The sequence below is a fragment of the Homo sapiens genome, chromosome 5, assembly GCF_000001405.40.
Source record: "Homo sapiens chromosome 5, GRCh38.p14 Primary Assembly".
NCBI classification, from domain to species: domain Eukaryota; kingdom Metazoa; phylum Chordata; class Mammalia; order Primates; family Hominidae; genus Homo; species Homo sapiens.
The window spans coordinates 141620881-141644516 of NC_000005.10; the positions used below are offsets into that span (position 1 = coordinate 141620881).

The window sequence follows — 23636 nt, forward strand, 5'->3', positions numbered from 1 at the left end:
TACAAAAAATACCGACTTAGTTTATTGGATAAAAACAGTGGTAAAATGGACATAAAGCCAAAAGTGAGAACAGAACATTTTCATATCCTCCCCACACTTGAAAACATACTTCCCATCATCTGGGATTCAGGTGTTAGGGAGCCAGAGCCCCTTCCAAATCTCTCTCTCTTCATCTTCCCTGGAAGCAAGGGGAGGAAGAAGTCAGAACCCAGGGGAGGAGGAAGTCAGAGGCAATCTCAGTCCTTGTCTACCCGTTCATCCCTCAAAAATCTCTGGGTTCGAGGGAAGCAGGGAAGAAATAAGGGGCAAGGGGGGCTAGGGACTGGCCTCCAGGGCCCACTGCCAATAATGTCCCAGATAGCTATCCTTGTCTGTATCTCATCCCTAATAGGTACCATTGTCAGGCCTTGGGAGAGAGAGGAAAAGCAGGTAGATGGTTCGAGAACCAAATGTGGTCTCCAGACTCTTTCCCAGAGTCAGCAAAAGCCCTGGGGTGACCCCCAGGACTCTAGGAGCCACTCCTTTTCCCTCCAGCCCAACCAAGAGGTGAAAAGAAATTCCTTGGGACACAGCATCCCAAGCCACTCTTAAATCTCCACATCGCTTTCCTTGTCATTGTCATGGTCTCCATCATAGAACTCATTGGGTGCCTCTGGCCTGCAAAGCAAGGGGAGAGAGGTCAGGATCTCACTCTAAGTTCTAATCTTCTCCCAGCACCCTTTTCCAAAGCCATTTCTCAGGCCCCGTTGAGAACCACTCCTCCTCTTGTTGGTAGAGACTGCTATTCATTCACCCATTCACGTATCAAATAAACATTAAGGAACTACTCTATACAGACACTGTCATAAACCTTAGCAATACAGTAGAGTAACAAGCTGGACAAGGTTGTCTATCCTCAAAAAGCTTACCTAATAAATGAGACTAGTAACTAACAAAGTAAATAAATATAATAATTTCAGATGATGGAGAGTACAATTAATAAAATGAAGTGATAGGACTGAAGGTGATGAGAGGAAAAGGGTGAAATTTCAGACAGGACTATTGGGACATAAGACCTAAAGTCTGAGGAGGAGCTAAGCAGGCAAAGACTTCAGGAAGGCCATTCCAAGCTGCAAGAAAACCAACTACAGAGGTCATGAAATGGAAAGAGACTGATGTATTCCAGTAAGAACAAGGAGGCCAGGACAGCCGGGAGCACTGTGCATGGAGGAGAGTAGTTAGAGATGAGATCCTGGATGTAGGTAAGGGCTAGCATGCAGGACCTTTTTAAGCCACAGTCAAAATTTTGGATTTTCTTCTAAGTGCAAGGTAAAGGAGAGTTTTAATTTTAAGAAGAGTGACGTGGTATTATAAACCCATAGTGAAAGAATGGATGTGAAAGCAAAACAGGGCCCAACAGGTACTCAATATTGGTTTCTTTCTTTTTGAAAAAGTATTCTCAAAAGCCGGGCGTGGTAGCTCACACCTGTAATCCCAGCACTTTGGGAGGCCAAGGCAGGTGGATCACAAGGTCAAGAGATCAAGACCATCCTGGCCAACATGGTGAAACCCCGTCTCTACTAAAAATACTAAAGTTAGCCGGGTGTGGTGGCACATGCCTGTAATCTCAGCTACTGAGGAGGCTGAGGCAGGAGAATCGCTTGAACCTGGGAGGCGGAGGTTGCAGTGAGCCGGGATTAGCCACTGCACTCCAGCCTGGCAACAGAGTGAGACTCCATCTCAAAAAAAAAAAAGAAAGAAAAGAAAAAGTATTCTCTGGGACACAGAGAATTGAGAAAGTCATCAAAGAGAAGCTGAGGCACTAAGCCAGGAAAGGCCTTATCTGCATGGTGAGCAATGTCTCAGTTACTTCTAAGTGCACAGGGTTAAAGGTGTGGAGTCAGAGAATCAGGTTGAATCTCAGCCCTGATCTTTAACTAGCCATGTGACCTTCAGAAAGTTACTTAAGTCTCGCCGGGGGCGGTGGCTCACACCTGTAGCCTGTAATCCTAGCACTTTGGGAGGCCGAGGCAGGCAGATCACCTGAGGTCAGGAGTTCGAGACCAGCCTGACTAACATGGAGAAACCCCATCTCTTCTAAAAATACAAAAAAAATTAGCCAGGCGTGGAGGCTCATGCCTGTAATCCAGCTACTTGGGAGGCTAAGGCAGGAGAATCGCTTGAACCCGGGAGGCAGAGGTTGTGGTGAGCTGAGATCATGCCATTGCACTCCAGCCTGGGCAAAAAGAGCGAAACTCCGTCTCAAAAAAAAGAAAGAAAGAAAGTTACTTAGACTCTCTGAGCCTTAGATTCCTCCCGTGTTAATCTGAAAATAAGAGCCATCAGAGTTGTCTGATGGCAACAGAATGATCATATATATGTTGTAATAGATAGCACTTAGTAGTGTCTGGTGCTTGGCAAACCTACAAAAAGTGGTAACTCTTCCTATTTCTACTCTGCAAGTCATATGCAAGCTGGAGCTATAGGCATCAAAGAAGAACAGAAACTCAGTGGGTGGCCTGACAGAGAGGTAGGGCTTAGGAACAGGAAGAGGCCTGAGGCTTCTGCTGGCTGTGACAGGGCTTGGTATTATTATAATGCAGAGACTAGGTCCAGATGCCAGCCTGGAGCTATTGATAAAAAACCCAAAAGGAAGAACTTAAAAACAGGTTTTACCAAACCAAACCAGACAATGAAAAGCAATTTCCAATAGTCCTGGAAGCCCTGAAGCCAGACACTTCCAGATGTTCAGACACTTCCTCACTCAGAAGGGATCGGGGGATATCCTTGGAGGAAGAGAGTTGCAGAGATCCCCAAGAGTCAGAGCAGTAAAGCCCAGGTCCAGAGGAGAGATTCGGAGGCCTGAATTCTAAGACAGAAGCAGATTCTAGAAGGGGCTGAGAAGCCCATCAGGCTCTGCAGCAGAGCCGGCTCAAACCTCTAACCCTGCGTGGGAGCAAGACAGCGTGTCCCACAAGTGTCCAGCTGTGGTTATCCCTCAGTCATGTAAGGAAATCTGTTCCCCATTAAGTGCATCTGTTTCTGCACTTCTTGGTTCTGTTGTCTTTCCCTTTCATTTTTCAGCAAAGTTTTGGGATTAAAAAAAAATTCCATCCTATCCTTTTTCCCCCCTAATTCATTCCATCTACAAATATTTTGTATGTATCTCAGAAAGATAAAGACTTTTAAAAAAAAAAAAAAAACATAACCACAATGCAATTATCCCACCCGAAAAAATTAACAGAGCAAAGAAATCAAAGAGCCTTAGAGAGTATTACGCAGGCAGTGACCTGTCCAGCTCAAGACCTGGAAAGACTGAGAAAAATGCTGGCAAGACTATAGGGTGCTACAGACTTTCTGGACGGCAATTTGGCAGCAAATATAAAAAATTTTAGGCCAGGCTCAGTGGCTCACGCCTATAATCCCAGCACTTTGGAAGGCTGGGGCAGGAGGACATTTGAGCCCAGGAGTTTGAGACCAGCCTGGGCAACAAGGCAAGACTCCGTCTCTACCAAAAAAAAAAAAAAAAAAAAAAAAAAAAAAAAAAATTAGCCAGGTGTCGTGGTGCACACCTATGATTCCAGCTACTCGAGGGGCTGAGGCAGGAGGATCGCTTGAACCCAGGAGTTCAAGATTGCAGTGAGCTATAATCATGCCACTGTACTCCAGCCTGGGTGACAGAATGAGACCCTGTCTCAAAAAAAAAAAAAAAAAAAAAATTAATGCACACAGCCTTTGACCTAGCAGCAACCATTCTACTATCTAACCCACTCAAACAAGAATGCAAAGATGTATAATGTAAGGGGGTTCATTGCCACATTATTATTGTAATACCAAAAAAATGGAAAATAATCTATCCACATAGTAAATTATTATACAGCTGATAAAATACTGAAGCAGATCTATATTAGCTAGCTGAAAACAGCTATATGATGTAAAGCAGCATACGTAGAATGACCCTATTTGTATTTACGAAAAACCAAAAACCACACAAACTGTAAATGAGTGTATATGTGTTTGTTTATATGTACATACAGAATAGTATATTTGCAATCTATAGAAAAAGGTCTATCCAAAACAATAAAAACTATTAACAGTGGTTACTCCTGTGGAATAGGTCTGGGATTGTGTGAACGCCAACACCATATTTTGGTGCTGTTTTAAAATTTTGCAATAAATACGTGTTACTTTTGTCATTAAAAATAACAAAGAAAAGAGTGAGGAAATTGTAGCAGACTAAAGGAGGTAAGCCAGAGGCAATTAAACTAATACCTTCCCATTTACTTTTTCCCTTTTAAACCTCCCCAGCAAGCCTATTGAAAGTAGGCTGAAGTCCCTGCTCCCAGACCTGCTATAGTTCTCCTCAGGACCCCTCTCCTCTGCATCAGCCTCATCAGTCCTGTCATAGGTCAGGAGGTCTGCAGGCACGTCATGAATCTGGACACTAGGTGCATGGTTCAGCATCTTCAGGTTTTCAAAGATTGTCTGGCGGATCTGGTCCAGATACTGGTTGGAAATGAGGAATACAGAGTGAGCAGTTTCCAGAGATTCCCAGGACATGGAATCTCCTAGCTGCCTTTTACCCCTACCATACTGGTTTTCATCTCAGTGGTACCTCTAGTTCAGGTCCCCCAACTGATAGCTCTCCCTCCCCACCAACCCCAACTGCCTCTACTTTAAACTGGACTGCCTCCTAGTCAATAACAGTGACTGTGATGGCTTAGAACTTCCTTCTCTTTGGTTTTTCCTACTTCCCACATCTTTGACCTCTCCTGGGCTCCACCTTTCAGGAGAAGTTTGTGCTCAGCTTTTCTGAGCTGCTGACCTGGCGTGAGTTCTGATTCTCGATGCGGGTGCTGACATCTGGATGAAGTGTGAAGTCTGGGGCAAAGTACTCGAAGTATTCTTGGGGAGGAGAGGAGAAAGTATGGCTCAGACTGAGAAAGGCAGCTAACAAGACTTCCCAATCTTTTTCCTTCCCATCCAGAGCACCTACATAATAGCTGCCCAATCTCTTCCCTGCTCTGAGCCCAGGGGTTTAGTCTGCAGAGCTCTGAGAGTGTAAAATTTCCCATGTGCCTTCAAACCAGGTCATTCTGGAATCTGGTGAGAATGGCCTTCCTGTTATGGGGGTGTTGTGGGGTGGTCCTTACCACTATAGGGAAGCTCCTCACTAATGGCCTCTTCTACCAGCAGCGATGTCTCATATGTCCTGAAACCAACCAGCAGAGGGGAGCAGGCTGACCAAGTGGGCTGAAGGACCCATGTGGCCATATCTGAGGGACACCCTAGCTCACACTGGACAACAGGGGAGGAAATCAGGAGAGTGCTCACCAGCAGCGGGCAACATTTCGGACAGTATAACCACCACCACCCAGCACGAGTAGAGGGATATTGAAGCTCTTGACATATTCAACGCATTCCCTGTTAAAAGGAACCAGAGGAAGATGTGGAGGAGGTTATCAAAAGACAAGGTAAATACCTTTAGGTATTGCCTGAAAGGAGCACAAGAAAACTATAAATGTTCTAAATCTTTATCTTGATAGTGAAATTCATTATGTTATACCCTTAAGATTTGGGTATACTTTATATGCTGTGTCTCAATAAAAATTTTAAAATAAAGCACAGTCCCCCCTCTGTTCTGCTCAACACCCTCCCTGGCACCCTGCCTGCTAATCAACTATTCTCATCAACCCAAGTTCTGTCAATTCTAGCCTTGAAAATATAACTCACGCCCGGCGCGGTGCTCACGCCTTTGTAGTAGTCCCAGCTACTCAGGAGGCTGAGGCAGGAGAAATGCTTGAACCCAGGAGGCAGAGCTTGCACTGAGCCAAGATCGTGCCACTGCACTCCAGCCTGGGTGACAGAGCAAGACTCCATCTCAAAAAAGAAAAAAAAAAACATATATATGTGTGTGTGTGTGTGTATATATATATATATACACACACACACACACACACCTCTCAGATCATCTACTTCTCTCCATTGCCACCCCCTCCACCTTAGTCTGGGCACCTAACCAACACCATGGCTTCCTAACTGGTCTTTCTACTTCCATCTCCATCCCCCCTACCCAAACCTTTCTCTATTCAGCAGTCAGAATTGTCACTTTCAAACACAAATTGGATCATGTCACTTTCCTGCTTAAAATCCTTCAATGGTTTCCCATCATCTTTGGAATATAATTCAAACTCCTTACCAGGGTTTAAAGGCTCTGCACAATCTCACCATGGCCAGCTTCTCGGACCTCACCTCAACAGACTGAAGTCCAGTGGCACAATCATAGTTCACTGTAACCTCAAACTCCTAGGCTCAAGTGATCCTCCTGCCTCAGCTTCCTGAGTAGCTAGGACTATAGGCATGCACCATCATGCCCAGCTGATTTTGTTTTTTATTTTCTGTAGAGATGGCTCTCACTATGTTGCCCAGGCTGGCCTCAAACTCCTAGCCTCAGGCGATTCTCCCACCTTGGCCTCTGGAAGTGTTGGGATTATAGGTGTGTGCCACTGGGCCCAGCCCTCAGAGCCTTTTGTGGGCCTTTGTCCATGCTTGGGTCAGGCTTCTCTCTGCTCCTCTTATGACTCACTCCTTCTTAGTCTCCAGGTCTCAACTCAAATTTTACTTCCTCAGAAAAACTTTCCGAAACCATGCTATCTCAAGTAGGTCCCCCATTGTATCCTGTGTCTCAGCTTTCTTTTTTTCTTTCACAGAATTTATAAGAATCTATTTATTTCATTTGATTATTTATTTTTTGTCTGTTTCCTAAACTGTAAACTCCATGGGAGACTCCTTATTCCATCCCCATGATGTGGTATGATGCCTGGAACATAACAGGTGCTTAATAAAAATATATCGTGAATGAATGACCATCTAGGGAACCCTGTTCAAGATGACATTTCTAGTTCAAGTACAATTTGTAGCTATTTTTGATTTCCAAGAAGAGGTGAGGCCCATTCCCCAACTACCCCCACCCACGTACTGAAGTCCAAGGCCACTTAAAAACCTTGGGGAGAAGAAGGAGAGCAAGTCTCACCCATGCCCTCGGATGCTGAGGTTAAAGCAGCCCAATCGATCACAGCCCAGAGAGTCAGCTCCACACTGCAAAAAGCAAAACCCCAGGAAAGTGCAGTGATCAGAACTGATCAGAACATCACAGATACCCCTTCCACCACCAACCTAAAGAACCTCCTCTTCCCTTGCTCTCTTTCCCCAAGCCCAGGCAGAACACTCCTGAGGAGGAACTGACAGTATTACCTGGAGCACAATGCACGTGGGTTGGTAGAAGTCCACTACCTGGTTGATAACCGGCTGGAAAAGGTGCTTGTAACCTGGGAGAGGGCCAAAGATGGGCACCTGGCACCCCAAGGGGATGGGGAGACAGGGAACAAAAGGAAAAAGGGGGTTGAGCGAGCATGTAGCCCAGGAAAGGGGCCACCCAAAAGAATCAAATCACTGGTCTGAAACTTCTGGAAGGGATCCCAGACTGCTATGAGTGACTGATGAAAGCCAATGACTTTTCCCAGAAAAATGCACATACACATGATATGTTGCATACAATTTCCAGAGATTCATGGTCCCTCTGAAGGCCATTCATCCTTAAGGACAACTGGCCCAACAGCAGACAATACCAGGCAGAAGAGGTTATTTCAAGGAGAAAAAGAAGGGGCCTAGGGAACAGAGGGAAGACTTCGGTACTTACTCTGGTCATCAATGCCATCCCGCAGGGGCACGTTCAGACAGTAGTAGCGGCCACTCTCTGCCCCGACTTCATACATGTCACCTGTAGGGAAGTGGGTGGTGGTAGCCACACATGGGAAGCACCCACAACCCAGCTGTTTCAGCCCCAATCTGCACTCTGGGAGCCTCTCATTCCATCTATGTAGCTTCACCATAAACTCCCTAGAGCCACTAAATCTCTTGCAGCTTGCATTCATTGGGCAAATAGTTTTGGGGGATCCACTCTGAGCCAACTGTGTACTAGGCAGTAGGGATGCAGCAACGAATGGAACTAATGAAATTTACGATATCCCACCACGCTTATATTCTTAGGGAATAGCCATGAGGAGGAGGGAGGCAGTAAACAAAACAAAACAAAAAACCACAATAAACACAAATAGCAGTGAGTGTTCTGAGGGAAACAATGAGGCTGATGTAACAGAGGAATGGGGAAGGAGGTGATTATGATAACTGGAGTGGTAAGGAAAGGCTTCTCTGAGGAGGGGACACCTGAGATGAGACTAGAAGGCTGAGAAGGAGGCACTCATAGTAAAGAGCTGAAGGGTGCAAAGGGGAAAGTAATCCCTATTCCCATACCTGTGCCAGGGAAGAAGTAATTTCCGTATTTGTGGAAGGACACCGTCATGACCCGGTCAGTGAGGTAGAAAGCTTCTTGAACCCCGTCACCATGGTGGATGTCAATGTCAATGTAGAGCACCCGAGGGTGGTACCTAGAGGGAAGCCAAAGCCAGGGTCTGAGCTAGAAGTGAACCCCCCAACCCACTCCTCTCAAACACCGGGTCTCGAATTGTGAAGAGTCTGCTTCTGCCCTGGTCACCTGAAACTTAATGTCACCAGTTCCCTAAAGGCAACTGGGGGCTCCAGCCTAGAGGCTAGAGGCAGGGACAGGAGAGGGATATGCAGAGAAGGCTGAAATGTGAGCAGGCAGTAGGGAATCTGCAGCAGTGGAAGAGGCAGCCTGAATAAAGCATCAAGAACTTGGGAGAAGCTAATCAGGGAGGAGGGAGGTCAAGGTCAGGGTTGAGACTGAGAGACCTCCTCAGCCAAGAATCCCGTAACTGCCCCCATCTCCTCCTGGGCTACTTACTTGAGCAGCTCCAGGATGCCAATCACAATGTCGTTGACATAGCAGAAGCCAGAGGCCTATGGCAAGACAGTGGTCTCATAAAGAGAAGAGCAATTCCCCTCCCAGCTGCCCCCCACCATCATCCTAAACACCTACCCTAGGATGGCCACTGTCTTTCCCATCACCTCCTCACTCACCTCAAACTTCTTGGCATGGTGCAGACCACCAGCCCAGTTAATGGCAATATCACAGATCTGAAAGACAAACACCTAAGTCACAGTCCTTCCTGCCCACCCCTCAAGCTGGGAGCCCAGGATCAGGGTTAAATCCCGAGTCCAGGGATCCAGAGGAAAGGAAGAACAGGACTCGGGACTATGTCACCTTGTTGTTCAGCTGGGTTGCTCCTTGCAGAGATGCGCCTGTGTAACGCGAGCAGAACTCAAAGAGCCCGGGAAACACTGGGCTGCAGGGAAGAGGAACAAGTTGGAACCCTCCTGCCTCTGTCTGGGCCCTTCCCATATCTCCCTCCCCATCCTAGATTCCTCCAATCTCCATTTTTCAAGAACCTTCTCTCCCTCTCCTACACACGTGGGCTATCTGCAAATTTATTCAACAAATATTTTGGACCAAACCATGTACCAAGCCCTGTGCAAGGCACTGGATGGGAAGTAAAGAAGCACTTAACTGTCAGGGAGTTTGTATCCTAGCTGCGGAAAGAAGCAAGCAGCTTCCAGGTACTCAAGTACAATGTAAAAAGGAAATCAGTTGAAAGAAAACATGAGCTCTGTTTTTCTTAGTCTTCTCAGTGTAACAAATTTTAGCATAATGTTCAATAATATTTTTCAGTCACATATTTTAAAGAAAGAACTGTATACCTACATATGTGAAACAGTGATGAGATAACCCACGAAAAGCCTGTAGCACAGTATACAGTATCCGCTCAGCCTTTAATAAATGTCAGCTATAATTATTACCATTGTTATTCTTTATAAAAAGTAAAGGCTTGAAGCCAGACACAAAAGCCTACTTACTGTATGACTCCATTTATGTAACATTCTGGAAAAGGTAAAATACAAGGACAGACATCTTATCAGTAGTTGGCTGGATCTAGGTTGCAGAGAAGTTATTAACTACAAAAGGGTGAGTGACCTTTGTTGGGTAGTGGAAATTTCCTGTACCTTGATACCTTTTTTTTTTTTTTTTTTGTAGAGACAGGGTCTCACTATGTTGCCCAAGCTGGTCTCAAACTCCTGGGCCTAAGTGATCCTCCCGCCTTGGCCTCCCAAATTGTTGGGACTACAGGTGTGAGCCATCGGCGCTGGCCCTATACCTTGATATATTCTATCAAACCTCTCAGAACTCTTACACCTAAAAAAGGTTAATTTTACTGTATGCAAGTTATACCTATATAAACCTGACTTTTTAAAAAGGAAAGGCTTAGGCAATCCCTAGTTTTAGGTCTCAAAAAAAAAAAATAGTGCAGCTGATACATTTGACCATGTGAAAAACAGAACTGTAGGGGTTTTTTGTTTGTTTGTTTTTTGAGATGGGGTCTTGCTCTGTCGCCCAGGCTGGGGTGCAATGGTGCGATCTCGGCTCACTGCAGCCTCCGCCTCCCGGGTTCAAGCAAGAATTGTAGGGTTTTATAGTTTCTCAAAAGGCTTGGAAAGAATTAGTGATTAATACCAGAAAACTAAGCAAATGAAAAAATAATGCAATTGTCAGCTCCAGGAAAAACAAAAAGCTTTAGAAGAAAATAGATTAAATCACACTACACTATTTGGCTTGATAGTAAATGAATCTTTCAGAGTTATAATAATGTAAACACAGAATACTGATTTATTTTTAAATTACTATGAAGCTGAAAGGGGAAAGGAAGCCAATGTGATGGTGTAAGAAGACTAAATGCTCATATCCCATACTAAAAGCTTAACAGATAATGCCTAAAATTGACAGACGAAGAAATAGCAATGAGAGACAATACAGGAGGGGAGTATGATTACAAGCACCGATTCTGGAGCTAGACTACCTAGGTTCTTTAACACCTACTAATGATAGTGAGGTTGTACAAACTGTTTAACCTTTCTGTGCTTAAGTGTCCTCATCGGTAAAAGGAAACAATAATAGACCCTGCTTCATAGGGGTTGTTGAGATTAAATAAGCTAATGGCTGTAAAGCACTTAGAACAGTACCTAGTATATAACAGGTATTACCTAAGGATTACAGATTAGTAATAACAGTCAATTAATATTATTATTTAGAAATCCAAAGGTAAATACCAGAAGACATAGGGGAAAGGAGCTGAAAGTGGCTGTCACTGGGCAGAGGGATTTATGGGTGAAAAGGAGAGGTCTGGAATTTTTTTTTTTTTTTTTTTTTAAGACAGAGTCTCACTCTGTTGCCCAGGCTGGAGTGCAGTGGTGCAATCTCAGGTCACTGCAACCTCCAACTCCCGGGTTCAAGCAATTCTCCTGCCTCAGCCTCCTGGAGTAGCTGGGACTACAGGCACGTGCCACCACACATGACTAATTTTTGTATTTTTAGTAGAGATGGGGTTTCACCATGTTGGCCAGGCTGGTCTTGAACTCCTGACCTTAGGTGGTCCACCCGCCTCGGCCTCCGAAAGTGCTGGGATTACAGGCGTGAGCCACTGCGCCCGGCTTGGGACTACTTTTTTATTTTTTTCATTTAAAGGCCTATAGTACAATTTGGCTACTTATGTTAGAATACTTTGAAACCAATCAGAAATTCATTAAACAGAAGAAAAATTCCTGATTCTCATCGGAAATACAGATAAGCACAACTGTAACTTGTTTGACAGGAAGACTGATGCAGCATAAATAGCCCAGAGATAGTATTCTAATTAGCATTCCCTAATCGCACAAAGAGCATCTACGGGACCCCAGTGTGGCGTAAGGGCTGACCCTGTATTCACAGAGCTAGAAAGTGAGCTCAGAAATAACAGCAGGAATACTAACAAAAAAACAAGAAACCTCCCCAAACAGCATGTGACTGAACACCAAATGAGCAGTGCAGTGTGTGCAAGACAGAGCTCTATGGGCTGGTGTGGTCAAGAAAGGTTTCATGGAGATGGTGTGAAGGCTGAGAAGGCCTTGAAGAGGTTGAATAGAGAACTAAGGGCATTCCAGGAAGGCATCCTGTGCAGCTGAGGTGTAGGGATAAAGTTGGAAAGGTGCCAATGCCAGCCTAATGAGTTGGCCTCTATCCTACAGCCCTGGCTGCTTCTGTCATTAAGATCTTTCAGGAAAACAGATTAGTGGTTTAAAAACCCGGGATCTGGATCATGCCCCCTCCAATGACCAGTTATGTGACTACGGCTAAGTTACCTAGATATTCCCAAACCTCAATTTACTTATATATAACATCAGAAAAAGGTCTATTATAATACATCTAAGGATTGGTATGAGAATTAAGTGGATTTACCAGCAACCCTTGGCATAATACCTAGCAGAGTAAGCACTCAGTAAATGGTAGCTATCATAAGAAATTCTACAGGATCAACAACCTGGTTTCTTCAAGAAATAAATTCAAGGGGGTGACAGAAAAGCTACAAATTAAAAGTCTTAAGAGACATATCAACCAAATGCACTGTATAGACCTTGTTTAGATCTGGATTTAAATTAGCTACAAAATAATTATGAGACAACTGCAGAAATTTGAATATTGATCCCATATTTGATGACATTAAGGAATCACTGTTAACTTTTTAGGTTTGATAATGATACTATGTTTTTTTAAAAGAGTATCATTTAGAGATACATAATAAAATATTTATGGATAAAAGGATATAACATCTAGGATCTGCTTTAAAACAATCTAACATGAGGGAGTATAGATGAAGTAAGAGTGGCCACTTGCTCAGCTGGGTGCGATGGCTCACGTCTGTAATCCCAGCACTTTTGGAGGCTGAGGCTGGTGGATCACCTGAGGTCAGGAGTTCAAAACCAGCCTGACCAACATAGTGAAACCCCATCTCTACTAAACATACAAAAATTAGCCAGGCATGGTGGCAGGCGCCTGTAATCCCAGCTACTCGGGAGTCTGAGGCATGAGAATCGCTTGAACCCAGGAGGCAGAGGTTGCAGTGAGCCAAGACTGCACCACTGCACTCCAGCCTGGGCTACAGAGTGAGACTCTGTCTCAAAAAAAAAAAAAAAAAAAAAAAGAGTGGCCATTTGCTCATAAGCGTTGAAGCTAGGTGATGGACGTATGGGAGGTCACTGCACTACTTCACTTTCAGAAATTTTTGAAATTTTCCCTAATAAAAAGTTTAAAAACAAAAGTAAGTAGAATTGAGCAACTGGTAGCTGTGATGGTTACTATTTTTTCATGGATATAGAGTAGAGTGTGGCTTATCTTTGTTGTCCACTCTCTTCCCCAGAGGGTCTAACCCTGACTCTTCTATGGATGATACAAGCTCAATGTAAACCTAATGATATCAAACCACTCCTTCGTTGTTTTTTTTGTTTTTTTAACTGCCCATAGCCCTCTTAAGATCCCTTGCTTTTTAAAACACTTTGATAGCTTCCCTCTACTCTACGGGTAAAAACCCCAATTCATAATAGAGCTGTTTGCTTTTAAAAGGTCCTATTTCTTTAGCCTCAATTCAGTTCACCTCCTCTTCATACTCTGCACTTGGCCTTTTTTCTGTTCCTCAAATGAGTCATACTCAGTCCTACCACAGACCCTTAGCACTTGTCCCTACTGCCTGCTATACTTCTCCCCTCACCCTCCAACCATCTTTCATCTGATTACTTCTACTCTTTTTTCAGATCTCAGCTCAATCTTTACTTCCTCTAGGAAGGCCCCACCGACCAGCCACTCCACCAAGCTAAACAATCCTCCACGTATACACTCTCATAATCTGTCATACACCTCCTCTTTATAAGACTTAGCAAAAATACGATATTAAAATTTTGTTTTTGTTCATCACTGCATTCCCAGCACTTAGCACAGGGCCTGCCTAGAACAAGTGACCAATAAATATTTATTGAATAAACAAATAAAATGAATTATGATGCATTGACAAGTAGGCCCCCCTTGAGATCTTCCCACTGCTGCCAAAAGACCTCACTGAAGGGCTTGGCATTAAACTGTTAGACATCAAAACTCCCAGTCCTCCCTCACCAGTCATCGCCTACGTTGAAGGCATTAAGACTCTTGGTGAAGCCTTGCATATTGGTGGGGCTGACTCTCTGCAGGAAGTCAATGTAGTCCTCGGAGTGGAAGCGGCACATGTCATGTTGGGAGGCCTGGTATGGCTTGAAGACCTCGGGATGGAGACACAAGATGAACCCAGGCAGGGTCAGCCCCACTCCACAGGCTCAGACCACCCATACTGAACCCAGTCCTGGAGACTATATGAAGCCAAACATAGCATTCCCCTCATCCCACAATCCTTAAGTCAGTAGAGAGACTCCGATTAACCAGGTAAGTTATTACAAATGAGCCCCCTGAAGACCACTTCTTTTCCTTTCCACCTCCAGCTCAGCCTATCGTACCTTCTCAACTTTGAGCCCTGATCCACCTGCCCTGTTCCTTGGAATCTCCTATTCCCAGTTCTCTCCATGCTCATCTCCTCCCCCAAGCTCTGATTCTGTCCTCTTTCCTCTGGATTCTTCTTTCTGGAGTCAAATATATGGGATATATGTCAACTTTCTAATTAAAATCAAAGATTTATTATCTTTGGAAGGTCAGGGGGATGTGTCACACCTCTTTGAAAACTGCACAAGAAAGAGCTTTTCTTCTCCCAGAAAATGCACACAGGTACATACAGGCAAACAATCTCAAGGGATATAGATTCCTGCACTAACATCACCTCAGTCTTTTCTATGACCAGTCCATTTGTCTGTGCCTTGGCACAAGCAATGAACATTCATTCATATTGTTCACTAGTTTCCCTAGCAACACATAAAGCCTGGGTTTAGCTGTTTTGTCTTATTTTTTCTTTTGAGACAAGGTCCTCCCTGTCAACTCAGGCTGCTGATCATAGATCACTGTAACTTTAAACTCCTGGGCCCAAGCCATCCTCTCGCCTCGGCCTCCCAAGTAGTTGGGACTACAGGCACACCCACCGCACATGGCTACTTTTTTTATTTTTATTTTTTGTAGATGTGGGTCCCACTGTGGCCCAAGCTGGTCTCCAACTCCTGGCCTCAAGCGATCCCCCCCATTTCAACCTCCCAAAGTGCTGGGATTACAGGCATGGGCCACCACGCCTGGCGTGGCTTAACTGTTACTATCCCATATCACAGCCATAAATTCCAAGCTGGGAAGACAGCATGTGTATGTCTGGTAGATGAAAAACTGGATAGCGATTAAGCAGAACCATGTAGAGGTATTCCAGGCTGAAAAAGGAATATCTAAAATATCGCCTCTGTTCCACACGCACATACACATTTACAAAGACGGCAGCATCGTTCCACCCTGGAGCCCTAGCTCCTTGGAGGTAAAGAAAGGTGGTAAAAGAGGAGTGGGAACTGAGGGTAAACCTCACACCCTGATACAGTGATATCCGCTCCCCTAACCCTAATTCCTGAGGCCAAGGCCCTATCCACACTCTAAAATGCAGAGGAGGAACACACCTTCTGTCTTCAAACCAGCCCCACATCACGCTAACCCTAGGCCAAGGGCTAGTGTGCCTACAGTCAGAGGGTGGCCGACCTGAGGTGAGAAAGTACTTTCCATTAAGCAGAGGACGCCACCCCCAACACCCTGCACTTTCAAGGTACTCCTGGTGACTTCTATCCAGCTCCCCGATACTCTAGGGGCGGGTCGCACTTCATGCACTCAGTCCAGCCCACCTATCCCTACGGCCACAGCTCGCCCCACCCCCCAACCCCCGGCCGAGGCGGCGGAACTCACGATCATCTTCTTATAGAGACCGTAATGCAGGACCAGGCTATGGGTCAATGCCAGGCGATGGGGCTTCATAGGGTGTCCAGCTCCTGGGGGTGGGGAGAAGAGAGTTCGTCAGCTCTCACCCCTGGAGTTGCAACCCCGCCTCAAAACCTCCGTGTCCCAACCCCTCATGCATATCCCTGTTTCCTCACCGTAGTGGAAGTTGCCCACGTCGGGGTCGTAGAAATAGGCCACGGTCTTGGCCATGGTGCCGGCGGGAGCAGGCCCCGCACCTCCGCCGCCCGCCGCCCGCGGCCGCCGCCAGCCCCTCCCCGGCCGTGCGTGCTGCGCAAGCACGTAGCCGGCCTCTGCGGAACTGGGCGTTGCGGCCCCGCCTCCATCCACACCCAGGCCACGCCCCCAGGGGAGCTCCGCCCCTCGCCCGGCTCAGCTCTCCCGGTATCTGGGGCTTTGAGCGTCCCGGGTTGGGCAGGGAACTGGCAGCATAGCTCCTAGGATGCGAGGGCCATTTGTCTCCGGCCGGGGGTCAGATCCTCGGGAAGCCGAGCCATCCCATCCAGCCGCTTGCCCCAAACCGGGCGCAGGCCGTGGTCACTTCTCTAGGAAGCTCCGAAGATCCCGCCACTCCGTCCCTCAAAGGTGCGGAAAGCCGGCTTCCCCCAGCCCTCGGAGAAGATTCCTGACTCTCCGCTCGGTCGGGGCATCTGAGGGCAGGAGCTGCGCCAGGCGTACCGGATAGACCAGTGGACAACACCCACGCCGGACCGCCTGTCCCCTACCCGGACCCAGACTCGGCGCCGCACATTGCCCCGGGGGGGCCCGGCGCAGTCACGCGCGCGCAGAGCTCACGCTCTCCGCCCCGCACACCTGCGCTCCGCCCCCTGGTCCTGGGCCCGCGACGGGTGAAGGCATTTGGGAAGCCAGGGCGGCTGCGGAGGCGATCTCCCTGACCCAGGGCCGGAGTTGCCCGGAGCCTGCCACCGCTCTCAGCCAGCCCGCATCCTTCTCTGTTCTTCCCTCCCCCCGCCTGCCACGGCGCGGGTATCCGCAGCCACAGCCCGGGGCCGGTGAGGCGGCGAAGGGGGAGGGGAGGAATCAAGGGATGAGCGCCGGAAGGGCGTCGGGGGCCCTGAGCCGCACTAGGACGCCCCTGGAGCCGGAACCCCAGCAGAAGCCGGAACCAGAACCAAATCACCGGTACCGGGTCGGCCAGGTGGTCAGGGTGGGAGAAACCAAAAAGGGAGAGGGGTGCGGGAGTACTGAGAGGAAGGGGCTGCAGAGGCCTGGCTCAGGCCGGCGTGGAGGAGGTGCGGGCGCTGACTCAGGCAGGATTTCTGCTCCCGCCGCCTAAGAATGCCGTCCCATCTCGTGCTGCAGTGTCCTTGGGAGGGACAGAAGCGCGAACAAGCTGGAAAGGGGAACGCTCGGGGCGTCGGGGAAGCGGGACCAGGGTCGTGGTAGAGAGCTTGCGTTGCCGCTGACCTCTTGCCGAAAGGCGAAACAGCACTCCTGGCCCGGACAGCTCCCTGGTTGGGTAGGGGGTGGGGCCGGACCTCAGCCGGACGTCTTAGACGTGCTTGTTTCAGATCCTGAGGACGGCATTCCTACCCCTCCCCCATTCCCAGCTGCAGCCCCCTAAACCCAGGAGGCGCCCTGGCCCGCGCTCGCCCCCCAGGGCCTCATGTCGGAACCACAGCCTGACCTGGAACCGCCCCAACATGGGCTATATATGCTCTTCCTGCTTGTGCTGGTCTTCTTCCTCATGGGCCTGGTAGGCTTCATGATCTGCCACGTGCTCAAGAAGAAGGGCTACCGCTGCCGCACGTCGAGGGGCTCTGAGCCTGACGATGCCCAGCTTCAGCCCCGTGAGTGAGGAGCCTGGAACCCTGGCTCAGTCACCTTTCACCCTTCTCCCCACACCTCTGCCTCCCTGACCAACAGACCCAGGCCAAATCCTGATCAAACCTGCTCAGGAAGCCTAGTGATGCACTCTTGAGTTAGCAAGTGGGGTGACACCACTCTGAAAGCAAAACTAGAGAAAGCAGCATGGGCAGGAACGGTCCTCTGGATGGTAGTCTTGGGCTTGCATTGGTGTCCCCATCTTTTCTGGTCCCTGAAATGCTGAGGTCCAGCATGATAGCAAGTAGGTAAAAGGGTATGTCCTAAGCAATAAATGATGGGAGCCACCAGGTAATATTCCCCCAAAGCTGACTCATTCCTGCTTCCTTGCCAATCTCTTTCATCCTTCAGCTGAGGACGATGACATGAATGAGGACACAGTAGAGAGGATTGTTCGCTGCATCATCCAGAATGAAGGTGGGTCTAGCATAGCCCCTTGCTCCCTCTTCTCCAACCTTCTCTTGCCCTGACCTCCACCTCCACTGACTCCCTCTTTTCCTTCTTCCCTCAGCCAATGCTGAGGCCTTGAAGGAGATGCTGGGGGACAGTGAAGGAGAAGGGACAGTGCAGCTGTCCAGGTGAGCTGGAAACAAGGGCCAGCATGACTTAGCTTGCCTTGGAGAGTATCCTCTCCTCCAGCACAATCCTCTCCCAGCCTCCTTGCATGTATGGGGTTGGGGGAAGGGCAAAGCTGGCTAACTTATAGGAAGAAAGTTGTTTTGTAGAAATCGCGATTCCTTCAAACCATCTCTCTCATCTAGATATCATCAAGCCTAACATTCACCTCTAGTGCCACTCCTTTGGGTTAAGCAGTGTTCTTTTTAGCAAACAGCCCTGGGAGGAAGAACATATGGTCACTAACATCTTAATATTGAGTTTATTAGATAAAGACAAGAAAAAATGGGGCTTGGGGAAATTGGGGCTTCTGGGGTTTTAAGGAGCATGCTGAAAGAACGTAAGAAACAAAACATGAAGGGAAATGGAAATGTTACCCTCACTCCCCTCCTCCCTGCTGTCCAGTGTGGATGCCACCTCCAGCCTGCAGGACGGAGCCCCCTCCCATCATCACACAGTGCACCTGGGCTCTGCAGCCCCTTGCCTCCATTGCAGCCGCAGCAAGAGGCCTCCACTTGTCCGTCAGGGACGCTCCAAGGAAGGAAAAAGCCGCCCCCGGACAGGGGAGACCACTGTGTTCTCTGTGGGCAGGTGGGGCAGGTGCTCCAGGGAAAGGGGGGCTGAGGTAGGGGGCCCAGTGATCAGGCACCTGATCCCAAAAGTGGGCCTTGGCTCTTTCCTCCTGGACTGGGAGCTCCGGCAGAAGTCAGGCTACACAATGTGCCCCACAATCTGAGAAGGCCTCCCCTACCTTAGGCCAGAGGGAAGTAGCCACCAAACTCAGGATGTCCCTGGTCAGAGGGGAGGGCCAAGCAGCCTCTGAGTTGTGGTCCTAAACCCCAGTGTTCCCTCCCCTCCCAGGTTCCGGGTGACACACATTGAGAAGCGCTATGGACTGCACGAACACCGTGATGGCTCCCCCACAGACAGGAGCTGGGGCTCTGGTGGGGGACAGGACCCAGGGGGTGGTCAGGGGTCTGGGGGAGGGCAGCCCAAGGCAGGGATGCCTGCCATGGAGAGGCTGCCCCCTGAGAGGCCACAGCCCCAGGTCCTAGCCAGCCCCCCAGTACAGAATGGAGGACTCAGGGACAGCAGCCTAACCCCTCGTGCACTTGAAGGGAACCCCAGAGCTTCTGCAGAGCCAACACTGAGGGCCGGAGGGAGGGGCCCAAGCCCAGGGCTGCCCACTCAAGAGGCAAATGGGCAGCCAAGCAAACCAGACACTTCTGATCACCAGGTAGGAAAACACAGCCGGGACTGCACTGGGCTGGGCTCTTATTGCTCTCTACTCTGGGGGGCACTGATAGGACCTACTCCTGGTCTCTCATTGTTGACCCCTCCCCTTTCTCTCAGGTGTCTCTACCACAGGGAGCAGGGAGTATGTGAGGTGAGTCTGCCTGAGCCCTAAATGAGGTAATCTCATCTTCCCATCACCTACTTAAACTATTTAAGCCTTTCGGCTCCCTGAACCCCCCGAGTAAACTGCAGGCTTAGCCTTTGCTATAAATCCCTTGGTTTGGTGGTGGAGGTAGGGAAGGTCCTGGAGCCCCAGGGGAAAAGCTGGACACAGCTTGAACAGGAAGCAACAGTGTTATTCTTCCTCTTCTCCAAGTCTCCTTCATTGTGCTGATGGACTACCAGCTGGCAGGGCCAGGGGGTGGGTGGGCGTGAAAGCCCTCCCCTCCACTGGACAGCACTGCCCCCCAGCTGAGGGACCAGCTCTACTTCCACCTGGAGTTGCACAGTCTCAGGCTGGGGGCCTCAGGAGAGGTCACAGCCCCTCAGTCTCTTCTCCTTCCCCTGCCTGCAACAGGCTGCCTGCCCCGCCTTCCCCAACACCTCGCTCCATATGATAGAGCGTGGCAGCTGGGAGCAGGCCCCTGCCCGTGGTGGGCCCCTAAAGCAATAGCACCGTAGGCCCCCTGCCCTCTTAGCACAAGAGGCCCAGGCCCTGGCCTGGCCTTCGTGCCCTTTATTCATTGTCAATAAATCCGCTCAGACCATTACAGCTGCTTCGCATCCTGGCTCCAGCTCCTGATTCCCAAGGCCTGTTCCTCTCCCCAGCCCAACCCCAGTGACCCTGGCATCCAGAGTGGGGTGGGTCATGGAGCCAGGGTGGGGAAAGAGGTGGGCCAGAACTACTAGAGACCTTGATGGATGGTTTCCAGCCCCAGAGATTTCAGGCATTTCACCACCCTAGATAGGGTCATGACAGAAGAGAAGGTAGTTCCGGTCCTAGAGATGATAGAACAATGGGAAAAAAAGGAGTGGGTTCCAGCTCTAGAAATGGGAAGGGGCAAGTTTCCACCCTTGGAGGTGAGGGTGGAAATAAGGGCGATTCCAGCTTTTGGCTGTGTTGCTCTGGATCATTGATGGTGTGGTCTGACAGCTTGAAGATAGGGACAGCAGCATCACTGGGGGTCAAGGCTTCCCTGGCCTTCAGGTGAGGGGATCTGGGTGGCCAGGATCCGGGGCTTTAGCCGGCGGGGGAGGTGGTGGACGCATCTGTAGGGAACACACAGTTAGTGCTCCAGAGTTCTCCCTTAAGGGTATCCCTGTCTATTCCCTCAGCCCTGCAGACAAAACAGGACTGGTTGGAATAACCCCTCTACATACAATCTCCTCCAAGGCAAGGGCCCTTACCGGCCTGAGTCGAGGTGCCATCATGTCCAGGAACCCAGGGAAGTCCAGGGCTTTGTCTGGAAATAAGAACCACAAGTCAGTCTTCAGACTTTGTTTTGTTCAATGCTGTATCTCCAGCACTTAGGACAGTGGCATTCTATAAATATTTGTTAAATTAATGGTCACCATCCTAGACCATAAAATCCATCACTCTATCCACTGTCCTCAACATTTATTGGGCAACTGCTGTATAATCAGCTCTGCTCAAGGTACAAAACTAAGGGAGATAGGATGCATAGTGCTCCCACCCCCAATGGCTGTCAAGAAACCAATAATGAAACCTCAACAAACACAATAAATGACTAAGTGCTAAGTCATGCAAAGTGAACTTGGGGTGGTGGAGATGGTGGTAACTCCAGGGAGGGAGACTCCTTGTGGACAAGGTGGAAGTACCAGAAAGTTTTAGAAAAGGCAGGCATTCCACAGCCATAAAAAAGAATGAAATCATGTCCTCTGCAGCAACATGAATGGAGTTGGATGCCATTATCCTAAGTGAACTAACTCAGAAACAGAAAACCAAATATTGCATGTTCTCACTTATAAGTGGGAGCTAAACAACGGGTACACATGGACATAGAGATGGAAATAACAGACTCCCAGGACTCCAAAGGGGGCAAAGGTAGGAGTAGAGGCAGGGGCGAGGGTTGAAAAATTACCTATCAGGTACAATGTTCACTATTTGAGTTACAGGTACACTAGAAGCCCAATCTCCACCAGTATGCAATATATCCATATGACAAACAAGCACATGTACCTCCTGAATCTAAAATAAATAATAAAATAAAACTGCTATAGACATTTAAAAAAGAAAAAAAGTGGGCATCAGAAAAAATAATGATACAAAGCTAGGTATCTGGACACTAGGAGCAAAAGGTGCATATTGGGAGGACACCGTGAGAGAAGTTAGCTAATTTTTAAAATAATAACAGTGACTGCATACTTACTGTGTGCCAGGCACAATGCTGTGTAGTCCACAGGCATCTTTTTTAACTCTCATAAGAATTCAATAAGCTAGTACCTTTTCCTTACCTCATAAAGAACATAAACTGAGGCCAAGACAGGTTCAGAATCCCACCACACACTTGGAGATGACAGAGCGGGACCTGAACCAGTCAGCCTGGCTCCAGAGCCCAGGCAAGTGCTCTCCACCAAGCAAGATGCCTGAAGGCACGGAGAGGACCAGAGCGTGACCTGGGAGTCCAAGCTTCCTCCTTCTTCCTGTCTGTTAGCCTCCCAAGGCTCCCAGTTCCTTCCACTCACCCCCAGGCAGGACAGGTGCAGGGGGCCCATCCAACACAGAGGTAGGTGCAGGTGGGGAGAAGCTGGGAGGAGAAGGGGACGGCAGCATCTGGAGGTGGGGTGGGCACAGAGTTATTCCTGGCATGTGGGGAGGTTTTACCAGCTTTTCCTCTCATCCCATCTCCAGTTCCTTCCTCATCACTTCTCAATACAGGAAGTGGCCAAATGCTTGCATTCGGTGGGGGGGTGTAGCTGACAAATATTTCAACAGCCAATATGTATTGAACGCTTATGTTTACTATGTCTCAAGTGTTCTGCTAGCACTTCACGTGTACCAATTCATTCAATCCTCACCACTACCCCATGAGGTAGGCATTTTTAATAATATGACTCCTATGTTAGAAGTGAGACCCAGGTTAAGCCAGCTGTCCAAAATCACGAAGCCAGTTATTGGCAGAGTGCTGGCTAGAACCCAGTTCTCCTGATGCCCACTCCTATTCTCTTTCTGCTGTATGTATATACATTATAACAACAGATATCTTATATTGAAACACCTTCTGCATTCCACTGCACTAAAGGCTTTGCCTCGGCGGGGCGCAGTGGCTCATGCCTATAATCCCAGCACATTGGGAGGCCAAGGCAGGTGGATCACCTGAGGTCAGGAGTTTGAGACCAGCCTGACCAAATGGAGAAACCCTGTATCTACTAAAAATAGAAAATTAGCCGGGCGTGGCAGCACGTGCCTGTAATCCCAGCTACTCGAGGGGCTGATACAGGAGAATCGTTTGAACCCGGGAGGCAGAGGTTGCGGTGAGCTGAGATCGCACCATTGCACTCCAGCCTGGGCAACAAGAGCGAAACTCTGTCTCAAAAAAAAAAAAAAGAAGAAGGCTTTACCTCGATTATCTCTAATTATGACAGTGAGCCTGCTAAAGTAGGTATTATCCCCATTTTACATGTGAAGAAACAAGCTCAGAGAGGTTAAATCATTGCCCAAGTCATACAATAGAAATTTGAACTCAGATCTATCCAGCACTAAAGTAGGACCCCCCAAACTCCTATGAAGGCTGCCTTGGTTTCCCTTTTCCCTGCCCCCCCATAGGAGATGGGAGGCCCAGGCCACTGTAGGAGGTAAAACTGGGGAGCAGAGGAGGCATTAAGATGAATATGAGGCTTTATTGGGGTGGGAGGGTCAACCCAGAGGTGCCTGGGGAGTTCAGGGAGAAGGTAAGCCTCACCTGTTCAGGGTCAGAGAGTTCAGGTGGCCCTGGGGGGCCAAGCAGCTCTTCCACCAGCAGGGAGGGGAAGACCCCAACACGGCCCCCAAATTCTCCCCTCCAGAAGCCGTCATCTACTCCATCTTGGGCCCGGGGCAGCAGACGGATGAGTGCCCCCTCAGGGAAGCTCAGCTCCTCTGCACTCTGTCCGGTGTAGCTGTACAGGGCCTGTGCCAGGAATGCTACAGAGGCCCAGGAGAGACGGTGAGAGGGAGGTGGGTAGCAGTGCCCCAGGACCATGACACCCCAGGGCTACAACC

The 23636-nt window shown here is 48.5% G+C and overlaps 3 protein-coding genes across 22 annotated transcripts in view, besides 6 other annotated features; 1 reads left to right on the plus strand and 2 right to left on the minus strand.

Annotated features, from left to right (window-relative positions):
- Positions 1–15969, minus strand: HDAC3 (histone deacetylase 3). Of its 10 annotated transcripts, none has more exons than NR_149168.2 (15): positions 15856–15969; positions 15668–15750; positions 13931–14073; positions 9164–9245; positions 8980–9036; positions 8804–8859; positions 8293–8426; positions 7679–7759; positions 7234–7332; positions 7013–7077; positions 5314–5403; positions 5133–5191; positions 4805–4884; positions 4328–4485; positions 1–657 (listed from the first exon to the last, which is right to left on the minus strand). NR_149168.2 is itself a non-coding variant. In NM_003883.4 (15 exons), exons 1-15 carry the CDS (start codon positions 15908–15910, stop codon positions 588–590), a joined length of 1287 nt encoding a protein of 428 aa, NP_003874.2. In that variant the 5' UTR covers positions 15911–15969; the 3' UTR covers positions 1–587. The 10 variants fall into 10 exon arrangements, 4 of the variants coding, with proteins under 4 accessions (NP_003874.2, NP_001341970.1, NP_001341969.1 ...); NM_003883.4 differs by having other exon boundaries at positions 7234–7307; NR_149165.2 differs by lacking the exon at positions 13931–14073.
- Positions 13289–13418: an enhancer, noted in NCBI's record as "active region_23309". NCBI's record gives its function as "activates an Ori minimal core promoter by ATAC-STARR-seq in GM12878 lymphoblastoid cells {active_cell/tissue: GM12878}" and the evidence as "EXISTENCE:reporter gene assay evidence [ECO:0000049][PMID:35858748]".
- Positions 15442–15736: a silencer, noted in NCBI's record as "tiled region #64; K562 Repressive DNase unmatched - State 1:Tss". NCBI's record gives its function as "represses a minimal TATA promoter and a strong SV40 promoter by Sharpr-MPRA in K562 cells {active_cell/tissue: K562}" and the evidence as "EXISTENCE:reporter gene assay evidence [ECO:0000049][PMID:27701403]".
- Positions 15746–15795: a silencer, noted in NCBI's record as "silent region_16457". NCBI's record gives its function as "represses an Ori minimal core promoter by ATAC-STARR-seq in GM12878 lymphoblastoid cells {active_cell/tissue: GM12878}" and the evidence as "EXISTENCE:reporter gene assay evidence [ECO:0000049][PMID:35858748]".
- Positions 15856–16145: a silencer, noted in NCBI's record as "silent region_16458". NCBI's record gives its function as "represses an Ori minimal core promoter by ATAC-STARR-seq in GM12878 lymphoblastoid cells {active_cell/tissue: GM12878}" and the evidence as "EXISTENCE:reporter gene assay evidence [ECO:0000049][PMID:35858748]".
- RELL2 (RELT like 2) lies at positions 16117–20184 on the plus strand. 6 transcript variants are annotated; one of them, NM_001130029.2, is made up of 8 exons: positions 16117–16861; positions 17290–17529; positions 17915–17980; positions 18075–18141; positions 18584–18769; positions 19040–19415; positions 19532–19565; positions 19791–20184. In NM_001130029.2, exons 2-7 carry the CDS (start codon positions 17346–17348, stop codon positions 19562–19564), a joined length of 912 nt encoding a protein of 303 aa, NP_001123501.1. In that variant the 5' UTR covers positions 16117–16861; positions 17290–17345; the 3' UTR covers position 19565; positions 19791–20184. The 6 variants fall into 6 exon arrangements, with proteins under 6 accessions (NP_001123501.1, NP_776189.3, XP_047273069.1 ...); NM_173828.5 differs by having other exon boundaries at positions 16117–17529; XM_047417113.1 differs by having other exon boundaries at positions 19532–20184.
- Positions 16656–16705: an enhancer, noted in NCBI's record as "active region_23310". NCBI's record gives its function as "activates an Ori minimal core promoter by ATAC-STARR-seq in GM12878 lymphoblastoid cells {active_cell/tissue: GM12878}" and the evidence as "EXISTENCE:reporter gene assay evidence [ECO:0000049][PMID:35858748]".
- Positions 17406–17525: an enhancer, noted in NCBI's record as "active region_23311". NCBI's record gives its function as "activates an Ori minimal core promoter by ATAC-STARR-seq in GM12878 lymphoblastoid cells {active_cell/tissue: GM12878}" and the evidence as "EXISTENCE:reporter gene assay evidence [ECO:0000049][PMID:35858748]".
- Positions 18422–23636, minus strand: part of FCHSD1 (FCH and double SH3 domains 1) — a 12117-nt gene continuing 6902 nt past the window's right edge. For 4 of the 6 annotated variants that reach the window (XM_047417860.1, XM_005268524.6, XM_006714803.5 and 1 more), the window contains 4 exons: positions 23338–23558; positions 22121–22208; positions 20822–20877; positions 18422–20683 (listed from right to left, as the gene is read on the minus strand). In XM_047417860.1, the coding sequence (XP_047273816.1) occupies positions 20618–20683; positions 20822–20877; positions 22121–22208; positions 23338–23558 (431 nt within the window). In that variant the 3' untranslated portion in view covers positions 18422–20617. Of the gene's footprint in view, positions 20684–20821; positions 20878–22120; positions 22209–23337; positions 23559–23636 lie in introns of those variants that run through there. The other 2 variants (XM_047417861.1, XR_944338.4) reach the window with 2 other exon arrangements.

Bases quoted from the DNA above. Each gene is read 5' to 3' on its own strand.
- HDAC3 (NM_001355039.2), bottom strand. From the start codon at position 15,910: ATGGCCAAGACCGTGGCCTATTTCTACGACCCCGACGTGGGCAACTTC. The intron at 9,037-9,163 runs GTGACATAGTCC...TTTGTCTTTCAG, and splicing joins CAACCCAGCTGAACAACAAG to ATCTGTGATATTGCCATTAA. The intron at 5,192-5,313 runs GTGAGCACTCTC...GGTTGGTTTCAG, and splicing joins CGAAATGTTGCCCGCTGCTG to GACATATGAGACATCGCTGC.
- RELL2 (XM_011537624.3), top strand. From the start codon at position 17,346: ATGTCGGAACCACAGCCTGACCTGGAACCGCCCCAACATGGGCTATAT. The intron at 17,530-17,914 runs GTGAGTGAGGAG...TTCATCCTTCAG, and splicing joins CGATGCCCAGCTTCAGCCCC to CTGAGGACGATGACATGAAT. The intron at 17,981-18,074 runs GTGGGTCTAGCA...TTCTTCCCTCAG, and splicing joins CTGCATCATCCAGAATGAAG to CCAATGCTGAGGCCTTGAAG.